This window comes from Homo sapiens, chromosome 2 (assembly GCF_000001405.40).
Source record: "Homo sapiens chromosome 2, GRCh38.p14 Primary Assembly".
In the NCBI taxonomy this organism is placed as follows: Eukaryota; Metazoa; Chordata; class Mammalia; order Primates; family Hominidae; genus Homo; species Homo sapiens.
In genome coordinates, this window is record NC_000002.12 from 59,015,599 (window position 1) to 59,034,701 (window position 19,103).

At 39.0% G+C, this 19,103-nt stretch overlaps 1 long non-coding RNA gene across 1 annotated transcript in view; it reads left to right on the top strand.

Annotated features, from left to right (window-relative positions):
* LINC01122 (long intergenic non-protein coding RNA 1122) overlaps positions 1-19,103 on the top strand; it is a 543,014-nt gene that overhangs the window by 494,846 nt on the left and 29,065 nt on the right. The window contains exons 9-12 of the long non-coding RNA NR_033873.1: positions 4,031-4,093; positions 7,358-7,384; positions 9,238-9,392; positions 17,572-17,617. This is a non-coding gene — a long non-coding RNA (long intergenic non-protein coding RNA 1122). The remainder of the gene's footprint in view (positions 1-4,030; positions 4,094-7,357; positions 7,385-9,237; positions 9,393-17,571; positions 17,618-19,103) is intronic.

Consider the following 19,103-nt stretch of genomic DNA (forward strand, 5'->3'; position numbering starts at 1 on the left):
GGGAAGGGTAGGTATATGAAAAATAGGTGAAGGGTGGGGATCAGTCAGAGAAAAGCATGCCAAATGGGAAGAGAGGTTCTCAATGTGGTCCATGGATTTACTTGGGACTTGTAGCTAGGCTTTAAACTGTCCTTGGCTTGAAGGTGGGATTTTACCAGGGACCTGCCCTATCTGCCTAGGTTGTTCCTGCCTGCTGCTGCTATTAGCATTATTGACCCAGCTCCAGTCTTTTTGTAGACAAAGCCTCAAAGAAGCATAAAAAACAGTATTAAGGACATTTTACTTGACAGGTTTAGATAGAAACATTACAAATTAGCAATTCCTTTCCAATAAAGCAAGAAATGAAACAACCAGTAGGAGAAGTTGAGCTATTATGCCTCAATAATTTACATTGAATCAAGAATTTTTTGAGACACAAAATCTTTAAGGTTTTAATGTAACAACCTAGTGAACCATCTGACCTGTATGTTTATTTGAAGACTAAGGTAGTACTTGCATATGGGCTGGCAGGAGGAAAGGAAAGTGAATGTAAAGTAAAAAGTTCAAGCAGCAATACTAGAATTGTTCTTATGAGAAGAAAATGTGAAAACAATGAAGCATGGGTAATAGGGTCCTATAAAATAAGTAGTATGCATTTAAAAGGCAAGAAAAAATCATGGCATAAATTTGACTCCACGGAGATAGATTACTGGTTTTATCTGAAAGAAGGCAGTGCTTTAGACATACCTGGTATTATGAAACAAATGTGGAGTTTGAGGAAATATTAATCAATTTTTCCATGATCTACAAATGCGTATTTTTACAGAAGGAACTTTTTCTTTCTGTGTACAAAAATTACATAAAAATGTATTTGTTTTATGCTAACAGTGAGTTAGGAAGTTAGAACTAGATAACCTTATACTTTTTTTTAAGTAAAAGAAATAGCAGCTCAAATGATCAACTTATAGCCATGTTCTTGATAAAATTATGAAAATAACAAATGACATGATAGAGATTTTAAAATAAATTTTGTTTGCTGATCCCTAATCACAAGTAAAGAACATGGTCTTCTTTTGTCCTAATATGTTTTCCTTAGTTTCTGACTTTTGGCAACATCTCCAGGCAATCAGCAGGGAATGGAGGGAAATTAAAGATATGTATCCTAATGTTATTGGAGGAGAAAATGTTGTTCACTTACTTGAAGTCATACAGTCTAGTCACAGATAAAAATCTGGTTTCATAGCATCTAATTTGATTCTTACAAAAGGTGTGAGCATTCTTTGCTTTTGACAAAAACAACATGAAATAACTTGCATGGTAGATCTAACTTGTATGAGTGGTATACATTGTTGCAGGAACTACTCTAGATATTCAATGCACACCAGTCTATTTTGTACTTATAATAAGTCAATAAGTTAAATATTTAGGATAAAGGGCTTGTTAAGGCTCTTCCTGCCAGTGAAGGGCAAGGGCCAAGATTTCAACTGGTGAACTGCCCACTAAAAGGATGTTATGAAGTCTCTAGTGGTAATATGCGTAATTTTGGAACAGAATAAATTAAATGGAATAATGTTATTATCTGATAATTTTTGTCACTTTTCCATCAACCCATAAATGTCTTCTCCACAGAATTCTTGTCATTTGACAAGTATTTTTGGTATTAAAGAGAACAATTTTATCATGGCTAAAAATGGATCAGAACTTGAATACATCTTTTTTTTAAGGCCCAAATTCCAATTCCTATCTTAATACAAAGAATATGAGGGAAAGGAAAGAAATGAAAGAACAACAGAAAGAATGACAGAGGGACAGAAAAGGGGAAAGGAGGGAGGGAGGAGGTGAAAGAGAGAGAGAGAGAGAGAAGAAAGGGCCCAGGTAAAATCTGTGGTCATTATAAATGTTTTTGAAACTGTTTCTAGACATGGAAAGAAATGGGTACATTTTTCTGACAATGATATATCTATTAATATAGCTAATATATCTATATGCTATGTATATTCAAGGAAGATGAACAGGAATCAACAGCAATATTTGGCCATGAATGCTGAACACTAGGATATGCAGTCTTTGATCTTTGTCAGAGATAAAGTAATTAAACAAATTATTAAAGATAAAATGATTAGGTCGAGCATGCTGGCTCATGGCTGTAATCCCAGCACTTTGGGAGGCCAGGCACAGTGGCTCACATCTGTAATGCTAGCACTTTGGGAGCCCTAGGCAGGTGGATCACTTGAGGTCAGGAGTTCGAGACCAGCCTGGCCAACATGGTGAAACCCCATATCTACTAAAAATACAAAAATGAGCCAGGCCTGGTGGCATATGCCTGTAGTCCCAGCTATTCAGGAGGCTGAGGCAGGAGAATCACTTGAACCTTGGAGGCAGAGGTTGTAGTGGGCCGAGATCAGGCCATTGCACTCCTGCCTGGGAGACAGAGAAAGACTTGGCATTACCCGCCCCCGTCCTGACCAATAAAAGATAAAATAATTATAATGGATAGACTGGCCATGCCGAGATCCATCTATTTCACATGGGCCCATTTCATGTGCATACATGAAATGATTTTTCTAGGCACAAAATACGTTAGTAGGTCTTATTATGAATCGGAACTATTTCACCCCAAGTTCCATGCCTGTTTTTCTATTGGTTGTATGGCAGCATCCTGTCTTATTCAGACTCTAAAATGATAACAGAGTGATGTTATTTGGTACGAATTCGTGTGCATGGGCCAGGTGTGTTAGCCAGTGTGCAGGTAGTCAGTACGTATGTAGCAGCCATGCTCTATTCCCAGTTCATTAGCTTGGCAGGTGACACGTTGGCCTCTGCTAGGATGCAAAATGCTCTCTCAGATTCCAAAGATTCTGTGTCAACTGTTATGTACCAATCATTGACTTCTCTCTGTGTGATGTGGGGTTAATGAGGAATGACAGGTTGCTTTTTTTTTTTTGCCTCAGTATATGGAAGCTGCCAGGCACACTTAACCCAATTGCCATTATTTTGGAACTAACGTCTGACATATGGATCATATTTTAACCTATAAGTAGATATACACATGTTCGATATGAAGCAAGTGTTTGCAAAATATCCCATGTACATAACAATGTCATACATGTTTATTCATGGTGGAATACACAGAATTGGATTTATAAAACATTAACTCTATGTTCATAAACTCTCTGCAGTTAACTAAACCAAAGATAGAAGCTTTCTAAAGGAGCGACAGAATACCTCTAAGGAACATGAGTGACTTTTTAGTAGTCTGATATAGAATGAAAAATGCAGACACAGTATTTAATAATGTGCTAGAGTAGAGACAGTGAATACAATCACCCTCCCTCCCCGGCTCCCCCGCCCTGCCATGATCTTTATTAGCTTTGTCCTGACAATCTGACCTACTGAGCTCTCTCCAGCCCTGACAGCCACATAAAACCTACAAACAAATAGGGAACCAGTGCAGCCTTTTCAGATTTAGGATCATGTTCAAGCTTATGAATCAGATTTTTCTATGTGTGGACATGACAACTATGGAAAAACTGTAATTTAGGACATATTCTCTTTATCCTTTTATGTAGAATTTCACTTTAATGTGATGCAAATGACAGTAAGAAATACATTCAATGAATGTTAAAGCCTTCCCATTAAAAATTCTGTATGCATTTTACATTCTAATTCATGTACAGTCAAAAACCCTGATAAAATCACAGTGCTGATTTGACTGCTGCACTTATCGTATTAATGAGGATACTTTATGCCTTTTGAAAATTGGGATATGGTCCATTATGTGATTGTAAATGATGTGATTGTATCACATAAATTTGTTATTCAATCCCACCCCTCCCTTCAGTCAGCTTTGTATATAAGAAGATTCACTGGTGAGCCAGAATTGAGGCTGGAAAACTGAACTGCAAATGAGACTTTTCTTCTTTTGTCTTTATTTCTGTTTATAGAAAGGAATATAATAAACATGCATACGTGTGTATGTGGGCATATATATATATGTATATATGTATTTTTTCTTACCTTTTTTTTTTTTTTAATTTCCCTAAAACCACAGGGAAAAGCTGACCGAGGAAGTCAAAATGAAAGAAAGAAGCAGACAGGACTGAGGCTCCCTGAGGTACGTAGCACTTTCTTCCACAGCCACGGAAATACGCCTTTTACTTTTTCCTGATTTAGGATTGTCTAACACTTGGAAGCCTTCCCTTCTCCCTCCTACAATAAGTGAAAGGTCTGAGAACTGTTGTTGGCCAAGGTTTCCTGATTTTTGGTTGCATTTGCATTCCTAAAATACCTACTTTTCTCTTTATTTATTTTTCTGTCTTGCCTACCTAGAGACACAAACACCCTCCCTGACATCAAGATTTCCAAACTCCCCACATAACAAATTACAGCACTGATCACAGAAGCATCTTCAGAACTCTCAGATTAAAGCAAAGGAGGGGACCACTGGCTGTTGGCTGAGTAGTTCTTACGGCCTCGAAGGGTTACACATTTAATTGCCTCTTTAATGACGGTCCCAAGTCTTATGATTATTGGAGAGAAGCTCATGCACCAAAGGTGCTTTCTGGTCCTAAAGCCATGGCAATTATCATTTGTTGTCTGTACATCTGTGTTTTATAAATTTTATTTTTGGTTTTGGATTCCTGAGTATTTGTAGGCTGGCCTTTTCTTTCTTTCTTTCTTTCTTTTTTTTTTTTAGTTTTGTTTCTTTTTTGAGACAGTCTCGCTCTCTTGCCAAGGCTAGAGTGCAGTGGTGCAATCTCAGCTCACTGCAACCTCCGCCTCCTGGGTTCAAGCAATTCTTGGGCCTTAGCCTCCCCAGTAGCTGGGATTATAGGCATGCGCCACCATGCCTGGCTAATTTTTGTATTTTTAGTAGAGACAGGGTTTCACCATGTTGGCCAGGCTGTTCTCCAACTCCTGACCTCAAGTGATCCACCCACCTAGGACTCCCAAAGTGGTAGCGTTACAGATGTGAGCCACCATGCCCAGCCTCCTTTTTCTCTTTATTCCTTAAAAAAATGATCTTTTGTTGCCTGGAACCTGGAGTAAGTGATATTGCCCTTCACGGTAGAGCAAGCTGTGGTGTGAAGTTCATAGAGTTTGAAATACAAATGCCCAAGTTCTTGCCACTCATCTGGCATCTCATATTTCTGACTCTCATTCTTGTTCACCTTGGTACCTGACCTTTAGGCCTTATGAAGCTCTGAGTTTTCTCAGAGCTCAGATGCTGTGGATGAAAAACAAAAATTAAAGTTTGGTCTCCGATGTGTTCTAATATCAAAAATACAGTACCATGTTTCCCTTACTCTCTTCCAGGAGAGATGTCAGAGGGAATGATTTCCACATTATAGTAAATTTGATGGCACGTCATTTATAATTTTACAAATATTTACAATTATTGTAAATTTTATTTTTTAAATAGCACATGGGAAAAGGTAAGTTTTTTGACTAAGATATACCAAAAGCTTACAGGGGGTCTTTCCTGATGGGAGGTAGGTTTTTTCTTTTTTTTTCTTTTTTTTTTGTTTTTTGAGATGGAGTCTCGCTCTGTCACCAGGCTGGAGTTCAGTGGTGTGATCTTGGCTCACTGCAACATCCGCCTCCCGGGTTCAATGATTCTCCTGCCTCAGCCTCCCAAGTAGTTGGGACTACAGGCACGCACCACCACGCCCAGCTAATTTTTGTATTTTTGGTAGAGATGGGGTTTCACCATGTTGGCCCGAATGGTCTCCATCACTTGACATCATGATCCGCCCGTCTCAGCCTCCCAAAGTGCTGGGATTATAGGCGTGAGCCACTGCGCCTGGCCTTTTTTTTTTTTTTTTAACCTTATTTTAGATTCAAGGCCAATAAGAACTTTATACAATCTTCTGGACAAAGCTTGCTACATCCTAATCTCTGCAAATCCACTCTGTTCTATTCACCGCTCTCCTTATTAATCAGTTCTACAAAGCTGTACCCTTCTCAGTACTGTTACACACACTGCATTTTTATGTTTCTGTTTCAGAGTGGCCTTTTCTATATTTTTGCTTTGCCTTGCATTCAATTACCCATAGCTTGTCCTGTAGAATAGGATACTATCACTGCCTACATTTAGGCCACAGCACATTATGTCATCTGGAGTCATATATTTTACTTCTGCCTCTTTTAGGAGGAAACTCATTTGAGAAATCTTGGCTCTGCCTTTGGGGAGGAATCATTTACCTTCTTTCATCTGGGCTGAAATTTGCCTCCTCATTTCTTTTGTTAATAAAAAAAAGAAAACTTATTTACATCTTCTCAGATCCTATTAGTTAGCTCAATTGCCTAATTGTTGCAGTTTTAAGAAAGACCTAGTCATTTTCTTACTTTCCATCCTTGTTGGTCTATTTCTTGGGTTACACAATTCTACATTCATGTCTGCCTACTTTCTTTGAGAACCTTTTTCTGTTTCACTTTGCTGTGCAGCATCATGTGCATGGTTCATTTCCTTGCCACACATAGGAAATATGGCTAAACCATCCCACTACAAAAGAGTAGAGAGAAAGATAGTGGGCCTGGCAATATCGCCCATCACCTTGACCTCTCTGTCTGAGGATAGGGGCAGGCTGGAATCTGTGTTTCTGTATGAATTTGGCCTGATTTTTCTTCCCTTTTTTCTTCTCTAATGTCTTAATAGTTCCTTAGAATGAATTTCCGTACCTAAAATGGATCTCCCCCTTTCTCTCTTGACAACGCTGAGTGAACCAGGGTGTGAGATATTACCCATGCAGTCCACTCTCTGAGAGGTATCGCTGGATGAAGCCATGCTGCTCATCTGCCATTCTGTACCCAACTGTGGATAATAACGGAATTGATTTTACCTGAGGAAAGACAAAGGAACCTCGGGCTGCTTTTTGCATTATTTTGTTCTCAGGTTATTCTGCTCTGAATGGTGAGATCTCTCACTAGAATATTGGGTCACATTTAGCTTTCTTTATGGCAAATCCCCTGTGTGGGAACTTCTGGCAATGAGCTGTGAGGTGTTACTATTCTGTGTTTGTGTGTGTGTGTGTGTGTGTTGTCAAAGTATAACGAGTAAGTTTATGTTTTCAAGTCCTCTGAATGCTTTTTCTTTTTTAAATGTGTTTTTAAGAAAGCATATCTTAAGTTGGAGACTAAAACTTGGCTTTCAGATCCTCTGGATGGTGACTTTAAAGAAGTCTATTCTTGAATAAATTGTAATATGACCATAGATAAGCCAACCTACACATATTATAAGGGCAATAATGATAATAGCCATTATAAATTGAGTGCTTAGTACTTCTCATGCATGTTCTAATTGCCTCATGCTTATTAATTTACTAAATCCTTATAATAACTTCATTAGGCATACATTATTTTTATCTCTATTTTACAGATGCAGAAACTGAGGCACAGAGCAAGGGTAAGTAAATTGTTCAAGCCATATAAGTGGTAAGTGGCAGGTGGCCTTGGCTCCTAAATCTAGACTCTTAAATGGTGAACTTCTCTGCCTCATTGAGAGAAAAATCTACAATGTCTCGTATAGTAACCATCATGTGAGCAAGATGTTTTACAAATATTTTAAGGAAATGTTGATAAAATAATGTGTAATTATAAGTGATTTTATTTCTGTCACTCTGTGGTTTTTTAAACTATATTATCCCTTTATGTTAAAACAACCCAAGTTATCTTGAGTTATGTGGAGAATTCAGGAAAGTTAACATATAATGGTTGTCATCTTAAAAAAATCTGGTGTATTTGCTATATGAACCCTTGAGTTATTACTTTTATTTTAAATCTCTCTGTATTTTCTGTTGACTCTTATTGATACTTTTATTTAGGTGAGAAGGCATATACACCCACTGAGGCTGTCTCTGGAAAGTGTTGAAAGAGGGTCAGGTAGAAGTCTCAGTTTTTGCCTGTGCTTAAAATGTGTAACTAAGAGAAATGTATTCCAGGGATGGCCTTCATAGTTAAGTGTTTACAAAGAAAGATATTAAATATATAAGGACCCATGGTCACCCTAACTTTCTGAGCATTGTTAACTTTGGGTCTGATTCTCTTAGCTCACTGCCTCAGAGTTGCCATGGATGTGCTTGGTAGTCCTGTGTACACACAATGAATGTATTGGATGTCTTGGAATTTTGAAAGTTCAGGGAATATTGGATTTTATGTATTATATATTACCTATTACTTGCTGGAGTAGTTTGCTTCTGTTTCTTATAGAGTTAAGAATAGAATTACTATTCTGGTAGTCTTGCACAAGTATGACCCTTTAGATTATGTGAATAAGCATCAAATTGGTGGCAAGGATTTACAAATTAGTACAAGTTAACATAAGTATCATAAAGCTTTGTGGGACCCAAAAAGAGTTATTTATGTTCAGCTCTGGCTCTAACCAAGTCATCACCATTGGATCAATGCATCAGATCAAGAATAAGTAGAGCCCCAAAGTCACACCATCCTATCAAAATAATTATCTATAATTAATATAATTATTGATCATGTAGTAGAAGTCACTGCCTGATGATACAGGGCTTTTAGGATTTCATGGGAATGCTTCACAACCTAATTATGTTTCCCTGGGAGATTATAATATAATTCAATTAATTTTTCCCATGTGTTTCATCAATCATTATGTGGATAGAAGGAATATCAGAATCTCATTTCTATGTCAATTCCTGCAGAATGTAGACAAGTCATTTCAGTAGAACAGAGCTGATTAGAAGATAGGGTTCCTCCCACAGGAAAATTATACCCTATGCCACTTGTAATGCTGGTGCCACATTCTGTTGGTTTTGTAGTATGTGATGAGGATAGCTACAAAAATCTGTGATATCCCTGTTCCAGCTTATACACCAAAAAAACTGAGACCTGTATAAAATAATGTTCTTAGATATGTGAGGAGTTGTATTCCCCTCAGGACCTTGGTTTCTCTATCAAAGGAGTCAGGTGGTGGCTAAGTCTCCTTCTACTTGTAAAGCTCCATACTCTAGTTTTGTTTATGCTTTAGCTCTTTAGTGTTTACACTGGTTCGTCTCAAGGTTTAACATACTTATGAATTACTAGAATCTTGTTAAAATGTAGATTATGATGCAGTTGGTCTAGGGTGGGTTCTGGGCTCCTGGTTTTCTAACATCTCCCAGGTGATGCTGAAGCAGCTGCTCTGTGAACCACATTTTTACTAGCAAAGATCTAAATGATGTACAGAGGTAAGGGGGGAAAGACTAGTTCTTTGTCTTCCTGTGGTAATACATTCACCTGCTTCTGTCTCAGGGCTAGGATTCTTGACTTTCTTCTGCAGAACACTGAAACATGCCTCCTCTTTCCTGGCCCCACCAAGCAGAGTTTAGGCTTCAAGAAGACTGAATGCATCTGTACAGAGCACAATCCCTTCTCCAAGAAGGAAACCATGGGGCTTATCAAGAAAGGTCTGTACTTTTACTGTCAGGCATCCTCAGCCCTGCTGAAATATGAAATAAATGAGGTGGAGTTTAATTTTAGGGTCTACAAATCTGTAATGTGTTCATCATTCCTGATGCCATTTTACATGGCAGGCTGGTGTTGTCAGACATGTTTTGTGAGGAGAGCTGCATTTGAGTTCTGGTTTAATGAAGCCTTCGCATACACCCTCCCAGGTCCCTCCTCTAATCTCCACTTACCGGAGAAAGAGATGCCACTTGTATGAGGGGTTTTCACTATTGGAAATGCACATCTCTTTTGCTTTCCTAGGGGCAGGCTCTTTGGGGGGATTTTCCTAAGCTGGACTGCAGGCTGGCTTCCCAGCAGAGGGCGCACTGCCCCAGTGCCATGGCCCAGAGCAGTTTCCTCCTCTTTTGGGTGGACTTCCCTCCCCACTAGGCTGGTTAGGGCTGAGAAGGAATCCAGGAGAAATGAGCTTTCAGCAAAGGAGGACATGAAGATGAGATTAAGGGAGAAAATCAAATCTAATCATTTCAGATCTGAATCAGTGACTTTTAAAATGAAAGGTCTACTTGGCTACCGTTAATGACAGCTTTTCATAATTCTCAGCTATTGCAAAACTAACTTTTCTTTCTTAAAGCTTCTCTGAACCCTACATTGTCCAGCATTTGTATCTTTCACTTTAATGAGCTCTAAATAAGAATTACATAAAGAATTTTAATAATTCTCACTGGAAAGTTAATTAAGCAGCGAGAAGTCTTTGGAACTGTTACTCTTTCTGCCTTTTACAGACAAGTGCTTCCGTGGCTTCCAAGGAAAGAGGTCACATTTATATATATATATAAAATGATGTGTGGGTTAGTAACTTTTTCCAGTAACAAATGACCTCCTTAACGAGCTGAAATCGTGAAATAAAAATCCACCTTTTTGTGGCCCACTTTCCCTGAACTCTACTCTCCACTTTCCTCAAACTTCTTTGCACAGGAAATGAATCCCCTGTAACTTTGGGGGGGCTCGAATATGTTGATCTCAAGTTCTCCAAATTTTTTGTTTCTCTATAAATCATACGGGCATGACCCAGCCCAGTCATTCATTTCAAATTTCTTTTTTCCTTTCTTGCTTTTTTAAAAAACAGCTTCTGTTTTTTCTCATTTTTGATAGATCCTACCACAAACTTCAGCTAGAGTAAGTGCAGACGACCATAACACTATTCTCACATAGAGGGTATTTTATTAAGTCCAGCAGTTAAAAATGTACAAAGTTCCTTGTAATAATCCATTCATTCTGTTCTTGCCTGATTCTTGGAGTAAGCCTGCACAATTATTCAAATCCCAGCTTTTAGCTACAGCATACACCTCGCCATGGGGCTATGCCTCTGTAATCTTGCTTTGGTCTTGCATGTCAAATGGAATTAACTCCCATAAGAAATGTGTGCGAAGACAACCCAAAGTGTCTAATCCTGCTGTTGTCTTAAATTTCTGAAACTCTGAGCTGTCATCTTTTTCTATTGCTTTGTTGAAGTTCTCACTTATGCTTCAGTCCATCCAAAGCTGAAGTTTAGGAAAATTTGCATTTTTATATATTTTTTTCAGTTATGCTCTCCCTTGGCCTTTTCACATGTTCTCTTTGTAGGAGGATTTTTTTCTTCCTTCAGATTTCAAGACCATTTTATACACAGTGGAATTTCAACAAAAGGTGAATTCACTTTTTTTTTTTTTTGCCCCTGGGAGTATACAAGTTGATACACAGACACCACCAGTTGAAGATTCGCAAACCAAATCCAAACATATGTGAGGGTGTGTGTGTGTGTGTGTGTGTGTGTGTGTGTGTGTGTGTGTGTGAGAGAGAGAGAGAGAGAATGTGTCTCTGAATGTTGAATGAGAAAGGGGAGAGAAGAAATAATGATATCATTATTACCATACCTTAACCACTCAACCTAGCTAATCAGAAAAACTAATTCTGTCTCAATTGAATCTCAAACTGCATCATCTCCCTCATGAGTAAAATGCTTGGTGAAATGAGCTTGGTTAGGTTAGTCTACTTGCATGTTGTATTAAGAGTAGATTAGTTTGATGAGTAATTTTGTACTTTCTTCCTTCTCTAGGGGGCATACTATTTAAAGATCTTGAATGCTGGGACAGTCCTCTTCTTCTTCACCAGATCCTGTATTCCACTTAATCACCTTCCTAGACATGAGGAATCTAGACGAAGACTTAGTATCCAGAATGCAATGCAAGCACTTAAATATATGTTGAATTCCTATGAATAAGGACAGTGCGTTAGCTAGAGCATACACTTCATCTCTTTCTTTCTGGGTGACCTATCTTGTTGCCTCAGTTTACAAATTGTATCATTCCATCTAGAAATGAAATCTGGCCAGGTTTTAGTGAACTCCCCTCACAGCCTGTGTGTTCAGTCCGATCTTCACACATGGTACATATTTTTAAATCACCAGTTATTCAGCATTGAGGGTTCCTTGAGGTGTCTCAACTAAGTGAGGTGTGGAAGGGCAAAATTGTAACTTGGTGTGGTGGATGTTTAATAAGTGGTAAACCGCAGCATTCTCCATTTGAAAGCTAATTAAGGCCACTAGCTGACCGTGCTTGTGCAGAAAACATATTCATGGTTTAGCCATGGAAACAGTCATAACAGCGCTCAGCTAAAAATAATGGGCTTAAGAGACATTTTCACTGATCACTCCTCAATGCTTATTTATTTATTTATTTTAAATATAAGAGTTGTCACATTTTTTAGGAAATACTCAGCAGCACTAGCTCATTTTGAGACTTCAAAGTTTTACTTGTGCCACCATAGATACTAATATGAGGAGGGATGTTAGGGCACAACCGTGAGACCAAATTATATTTTTTAATGCTATATGCAGGAAGGTCTCAAAATATAATCATCCTTTTTGCTCTCTTGACTCTCTTTCCTTTTTAATACTGGCCTTTAATATATTAGTGATGTGATGACTTTTTGTCACAAGAGAAGTTAGCCCTCTAGCACCTATTAACTTATTTTATCTAAATTGAGTTGGTGTTTGTTGAAGAGACCTCCTTTACTGACAGATGATATAATATGAATTACGTTTCTGTGTGCTCATTGTTTCTTCACAATAAGAGTACTGTAATACAACAATATATTTTATTGTACAATATATTACTTTGGCTAATAGGATTGAAAAAACATCAAATGTAAATATTTTTTCAGCATCTGTATGGTGAAGTTAGATTGTCTTATCAAATATCTTAATGCTCTTCTAGGATCCAGCAATATTTAGTGTCACTGAAATAGGGGATAGCAGAGTATCAGGCAGATGTGATGAAAGCATAACCAAGGTAAAGGGATCTCAAGGAGGCTGAAATGATCTGAGGGCATTGTTAGGCTGGTTGATTGCAAGTTGTTTTTAACTGAACAATAAGAATTATGTTTGAAATCACTTTTGGGAGTGGACACACAGTAATCTTGGTCCATGCTCATTTCAATTAATTTTAAATTAATTTCATTTAATTTGTCTTGCTGACATTGAATCGTATCGAGACCACGTATTGCAAGAATTTACTTCCTACTCTCCCATTCATCCACACAGCAATGGGTCTCTAAGCATATCTCTGGGATAACTTTGAGCTCAAATGACACTTCAACGTTAGCAGGATTTGGTAGAGAAAACAAATTGGTGCAATGAGACATGTATTTTCCACACCTTCCAAGAGCTAAACCTTATATCCTGCATATGCCATCATTTAACCAAATAGAGATAGAAACATGGTCCAAGAGCCATAGGACTTCAGATCTAGATTTAGAACATTTTCCTGCTTAACCTGGCCATATCTGCAGCAGAATATGTTAAACAGAACTGACCTAGAACTGTCATCCCTACAAATTCTCACTTATGGCTCTTTTTAGCTTAAGACTAGATGACAAACATTGATCTCTGCCAGTATCGGTTGAGTTTCTCAGGCTCCATTTTTCTCACTGGCTACTTTAAATGAATACCATTTTTGCTGGTTTGTTCCTCTTCCTTCCCACTCTCCTTTCATTTTCGTTATTTGTTCTAATTTAATTTGAAATGCCCAGCATCTGACTGTAATCAGGTAAGGGGACTCAGGAGACTTCCAGCAAGAGCAGGTCTTCTGAAAAGGGTCTTTTGGACACAACAGAATGAGCCTTTATTTATTATCTCAGGGATAACAAAATGGGGAGTGAGCAAGACTGTGCGGCAGCTGTCCTTTCAAGCAGCAGCTAACTTCGTGGAACACTCCCGTCCCCAGGGTGTGAACAGACCGCCCCTTGGCTCAAAGTCATCCCGCTGTCCCTGGCTGCTGGTTCTCTAGGCCAACACAAACAAGCATAACAAAACATGCAGGGAAAGTGTCAACAGAAACCCGTTTTCTAGGAACCTGGCTTTTGGAAATGAACTGGATTTGCAGTCCATACAAAGGCTTGGCAAGGTTTCATTGGCCATGGCCACACACCTCACACTGTGACTTCTATCCATCAGGTGGGACATTTCGCTTATTAGGCACATGTGCTCTGTTTCCTCTGAGATCCTCCAGAGAAAGGCCTTGGTTTCCCCATGTACCAAATGAAGATTACTGGGGAGGAACAAACACTGGAATTTGCAAAGGATCTCCTGGGTTTAAATTCTTGTTTTATAACCTGAGAAAATCACTCTCTCTAACCCTCAGTTTCTTCATTAATAAACTGGGGATAACAATATTTTCCTTTATAATCATGGTGATCAAATAAAAGAGAGAGACGTGTTATCATTGAGAAAAATATCACAATATTTAGACCAAGGTTAAGTTTGGTGTGGAGAGCCAATGAAACCACAGATGTGAAAATGCTTGAGAAATGGAAAAGTACTATAGACATGAAATATATGGTCATGATTATTGTTATTATCTTCAAGGAATTTAGTCATTTTCTCCATAACAGAAAAAACATGGTGATCCTATCCCCACATTTATGCCTGGATCTATCACATCTAGAGGGTCTTCTGCTGCTTTGCACAGGGAGACAGCCCAGGCACATCTGTCCCTTCATTTCACAGAAGTGTAGCAGATAGCTCAGTTACAGACCAGGTAAGACGGCATTGTCCAGAGACTTTCATGCTGCAGAACTTACAGATATGCAATGATCTTGGGTATTTAATGTTCATGTGTTGTGAGTTCCCAGGGAGGGTTGAGAAAAGGTAAAAAATTCATGCTAGTCCATGGTTCAGTTCCTGCAAGAGGAAAGCATGATGAAATGGGATACTGAGAGCTCTGACCTATCAGTCCATATCCAGTGTCCAGCTGTATGATTTCTTTCAGGATGTGGAGACATTGGCTTTTCTATAGTTAGTTGCCGAATTATTTTTTGGTCAATGCAGATGCTTTATCCTGTCACATACATCTGCCTAAGAATGTGTGTGTATGAAAAGGAGACAACGAGACTCTTTAGGAAGTAGGAAACAGAGGTAATTCAGAGAAAGAAAATCATGAAAAGAAATGATAAAACCTATGGCTCAGGCATGTTCGTCTCTTTATTTCTAGCACTTAAGCGGGGACCTGATTCTTTATGGAATGTTGCACGATTGAAAATAACTGGAAGACTGTGACTGTGTTGTCTGTTTTTAAAGTAACACTCCACTCCCTTGAACCTATACAGAAACTATCGCAGTACCTTATACAGGTTGAACACACAACGCTTTGTGGTACCAGAAGGAACTTACAGCTGGGCGTGGTGGTGTGCCTGTAGTCCCGGCTCCTCAGGAGGCTGAGAAGGGAGGATGGCTTGAGCCCAGGACTTAGAGGCTGCCGTGAGCTATGATTGCACTGCTGCACTCCAGCCTGGGTGTCAGAGTAGGACCCAGTCTCTAAACAAAACAAAAGGAACTTGCCAGAATATGTGACACCCACCCTTAAAGTAAAATGAAAGGCCCTGGAAGTGTTGACAACATCTAGATGATGGGCAGAATATAACGAGGCATGCTTCTGGCAGCCTGTGGAGTAACCAGCACAGCGAGCCTCTTTTCAATGCAAGAGAAGGAATGTCAGGGACCTAAGCTAAGGCCCAGAAGTCAATTGACTTGCCTGGCATCCGGGAACATTTTCCAATTGCTTTCATAACACACGTCCACAAGCATCTGTATGTATAAGGGTCAGTTGAGGGGGTGTGCCAGAGAATGGGGAGGCAGAAAGTAGGAGTTACATAAGCTCTGTGAGCCTCTGTGTCCTCATCTGTCAAATGGGCTAGAGCTTCATGAATCCCACAGCTGTGAGGAATGAGTGGGATAATGTAGATTAAACCTCATCCCAGTGTCTGGCTCAGAGGAAGCACTCAACTAAAAGGTAGCAATTTTTATTAGAAGGAAACATAACTCTTCGTCTTTGGAGAAGCCCTTTCTCTCTCCTTGCCTCCTCCTTCAAACCTTTGAGGCACCTCAGTAGTAATTGGCTGCTAGGACTTGGAATCTATCTGTGGAGAAACAGTGTTTGTGAAAGGGCTCTAAGGTGATGGTGTGAGGCATTTATTTGTGATCTAAGGGAACATAAGTTGCCTCTGGTGCTTATTGACTATTTCTAGCTGGAGGCACAGAAATACACAGGCACTAAAGGGTGAGTTACTGTTGGACGCTCCTCTCTGGACCAGCAGGGACTTGGAAAGCTCTTGGAGGATGTAGTGTCTTGCATCAATCACCAGTGACCCCTCTGGCTGAATATGTACAGGCAGAAAGAGGCTCCTAAGCCTCTGTTCTCCTTAGCTAGATGGATGGAAGATGAAATGCAGCCCCTGGAGGAGGAGGAAGTGTGTGCGGTGGAGGATTGACCTGTACCCTGGAAATCCAAGCTGATTCCTCCTTTCCAAAACAAATCGGAAATGTCTTTATTTTCTATGAGCCTATTAAAGCATATACATTTAATAAATTGACATCGTGGGAGACGAGAAACAGAAAGGAGGAGATGGGGAGAGGAGAGAATGGTCAAGAAAAATAATGCCCGGAACTACTTGTTTGACGAATGAATTAAAATAGAGCAAAAGTGGCTTAGGACTAATTCCAGCATTTTTTAAAAGTGTACGTTGAGATGGATTCATGCTAGGAGCAGAGGTGTGAGGTGTGGTATCAAGCCGGCTGATCCATTTTAAATAACTTCCAGAAAAATTTCACGTGCTTATGAAAAATTTCATTGAATATTAATTCACCTAAGAATGCTGAAGATTTGGCTAAACCGCATAAAAGCTAGGAGTCATAGAAAAGGTGCTCTTCCAGGATATGCTAATGACACTCTAGAAATAATGCTTCTGTTTTTGAGAATTGTTAGCATATATCCAGGGATTCTTCTACTTCCTCCTCCCTAGCTGTAATTTCTCCTTTGGTCAAAAAAAAGGAAGGCAAGCAAAGGACTCCGTAGGTAAAAGCACACCTTTGTGCCTCACATTTTCTAGGTTTTCTTTATGGTCCAATGGCAATCATTTTAATGCCTGTTTGAGAGCCGTCCGTACTCAAAAAGCCTGGCAGGAAAATAGTAAATCTGTGAACTCAACATTATTTCCCATGGTAAGAATTTTTCTTTGCTTCCTTTCTGTAAGGCCTAAGACCAGTACATTGAATCCCACTCCAGATGGATGTGTTACATAACCACAACCAGGCACGTGCAGTCATCCCAGAGCTGACTGAGCCACAAAGGTGGATCACTCAATACAAGCCTGACCCTGTTGCTGCCAAAGTAAATCCAGAAGGCTCGGTAAACATCTGTTCATGCACAAATAGGTCATCACCATACACGCTTGAGCTGTGAAGAGCAAGGAGAAGGATTTCTTTCTCAGAGTTACCAGGCCTTCTCAGTATTAGCTCACTTTGTGGGGACAGCATGTGAGCCTCAGGGGCTTGTGGTGTTTTGGATACACTTGAGGATTCCCTTCCTAATAATAATAATTAGCATTTATGGGAGGCACTTGGTAAGTGCCAGATGCTGTTGAATGCACTTCACTTATATTAACACGTTGAAATCTGTCAGGAACTCTATGAAAGAGAATCTTTTATAATCCTCGTTTTATAATAAGGAATTTAAGGCAAAGAGAGGTCAAGTATTCTCTCCAAGATCACAGAACTACCAAGTAGTAGAGGTGGGATTTGAATCTATTCTGTCTGACTCCAGAGTATATGCTTTTAACCATTATAGCATATTTTTTCTGGCCTAGGCGTACACTGAAGAGACTGGAAAGTGAAGATGCACTATTTGTCAAGGTATTATATCCCTTTAACCTGGTGGGGGCAGGGAGGGTTTCTAAGGAGATCTGAACTTATAGAGTAGTCTTAGACTTTCTCTGTCTTCTGGGATCTCAATATCCTATCTGTCAAACAAATACACAAAGGACCAAAAAACCCAAATAAACTCTAGAGACAGTTTGCAGATTTAAATAAGTTTTCCTAATTAGGAACCACTTCTAGCACAGCTCTTAACAATATAGGTAGAAGAGGTGGCCGTAGGGTTCACACCGGGAAGACCAGTAGCTCTGAGGTAATTTTGGCAATTGTGAAGGAGGTCCATTGCACTCAGCAGCAGTAAATGACAGAGAAAAATGTCAACCTGAAGGGGTGTACCATGTTGCCTAGGGTGTGGGATTGAATTTATAAAATTGCGAGCATTCAAGAATGTCGCATAAGGACTCCATTTGCTTCTGTTTGCAAATTCATTCAGGAAAGGCTTCAAAATTTATGTTATGAGAAAATACAACATAGTTCCTCCTCTTATGGTTTCCTCCCCCTCTTCTCCCACCCCTTTTTCTTCCCACCACCAATACCACCATGCATTTTTAAAGTCCTTTAAAGTTTTCAAAGTGCTTTCATATACATACTTCATTCTTTATGTCAGGTCAGGGCAAAATTTTATTGCATTTGGCCAAAGGCCATTTTGAAATTTTGAGAGAAAAAAGGAGATACGATGTGATCTTTGAAATAAAGGGATTAAAACAGAGCAAAGTTAAAAAGGATTTATGAGTAAAAAAAAAAAAAAGTTAAAAAAATATAAATCAAATTTTAGAGTTGAACTGGAAAAGGACTGACTGACCAAATGCTTCTCATATTTTGCAAAAGAGTTGGGATTTAGACAAAAACAACTGGAAGAGATACACAAATTATTTTAAAATAACATTTATCCAGCTTTGATTTTAAAATGCTAATACATGCTCATCACAGAAAAATTGAAGGATGTGAAAGTCAAAAGTTGAAAATATAAACATCCATAATACCAGTATGCATTCAAAAACATGATTATGTTTAGAGTTACAATCCTCTAGTCTTATCTTAAACACACACACATACCACACACACGCATGCACGACAGAGTTGTAAATTGCTTTATGCTGTACTCAGATATGCAGAAAATAAATGCTGCCCTATAATTTATAAAAACTGTGACCTGGCCCATGCACTACCACTTTACTGAACTGCAAAAACAACTTACTCTCCTTTGGCAACATTTTAGTCTCTTCTGCTTTGTAAGTCTTCTTTCACTTTAACGTTCAGTCCATTCAAAGTTATGATGGTTTACAGAGGCATCTTTCAAAGATTTAGTCTCTTTAGGAAAATGCATAGTGGTTCAGATTGCTCTCCTAGCCCACTTTTCCCTTTCTCAAGATGGTGCCCTGCTGTCTGAGAGACAGGGCTGTAGCTACCAGAGACTTAAACTTACAGTGGATTACAAAAAGACTAAAAAAGTCCACACTTCTGT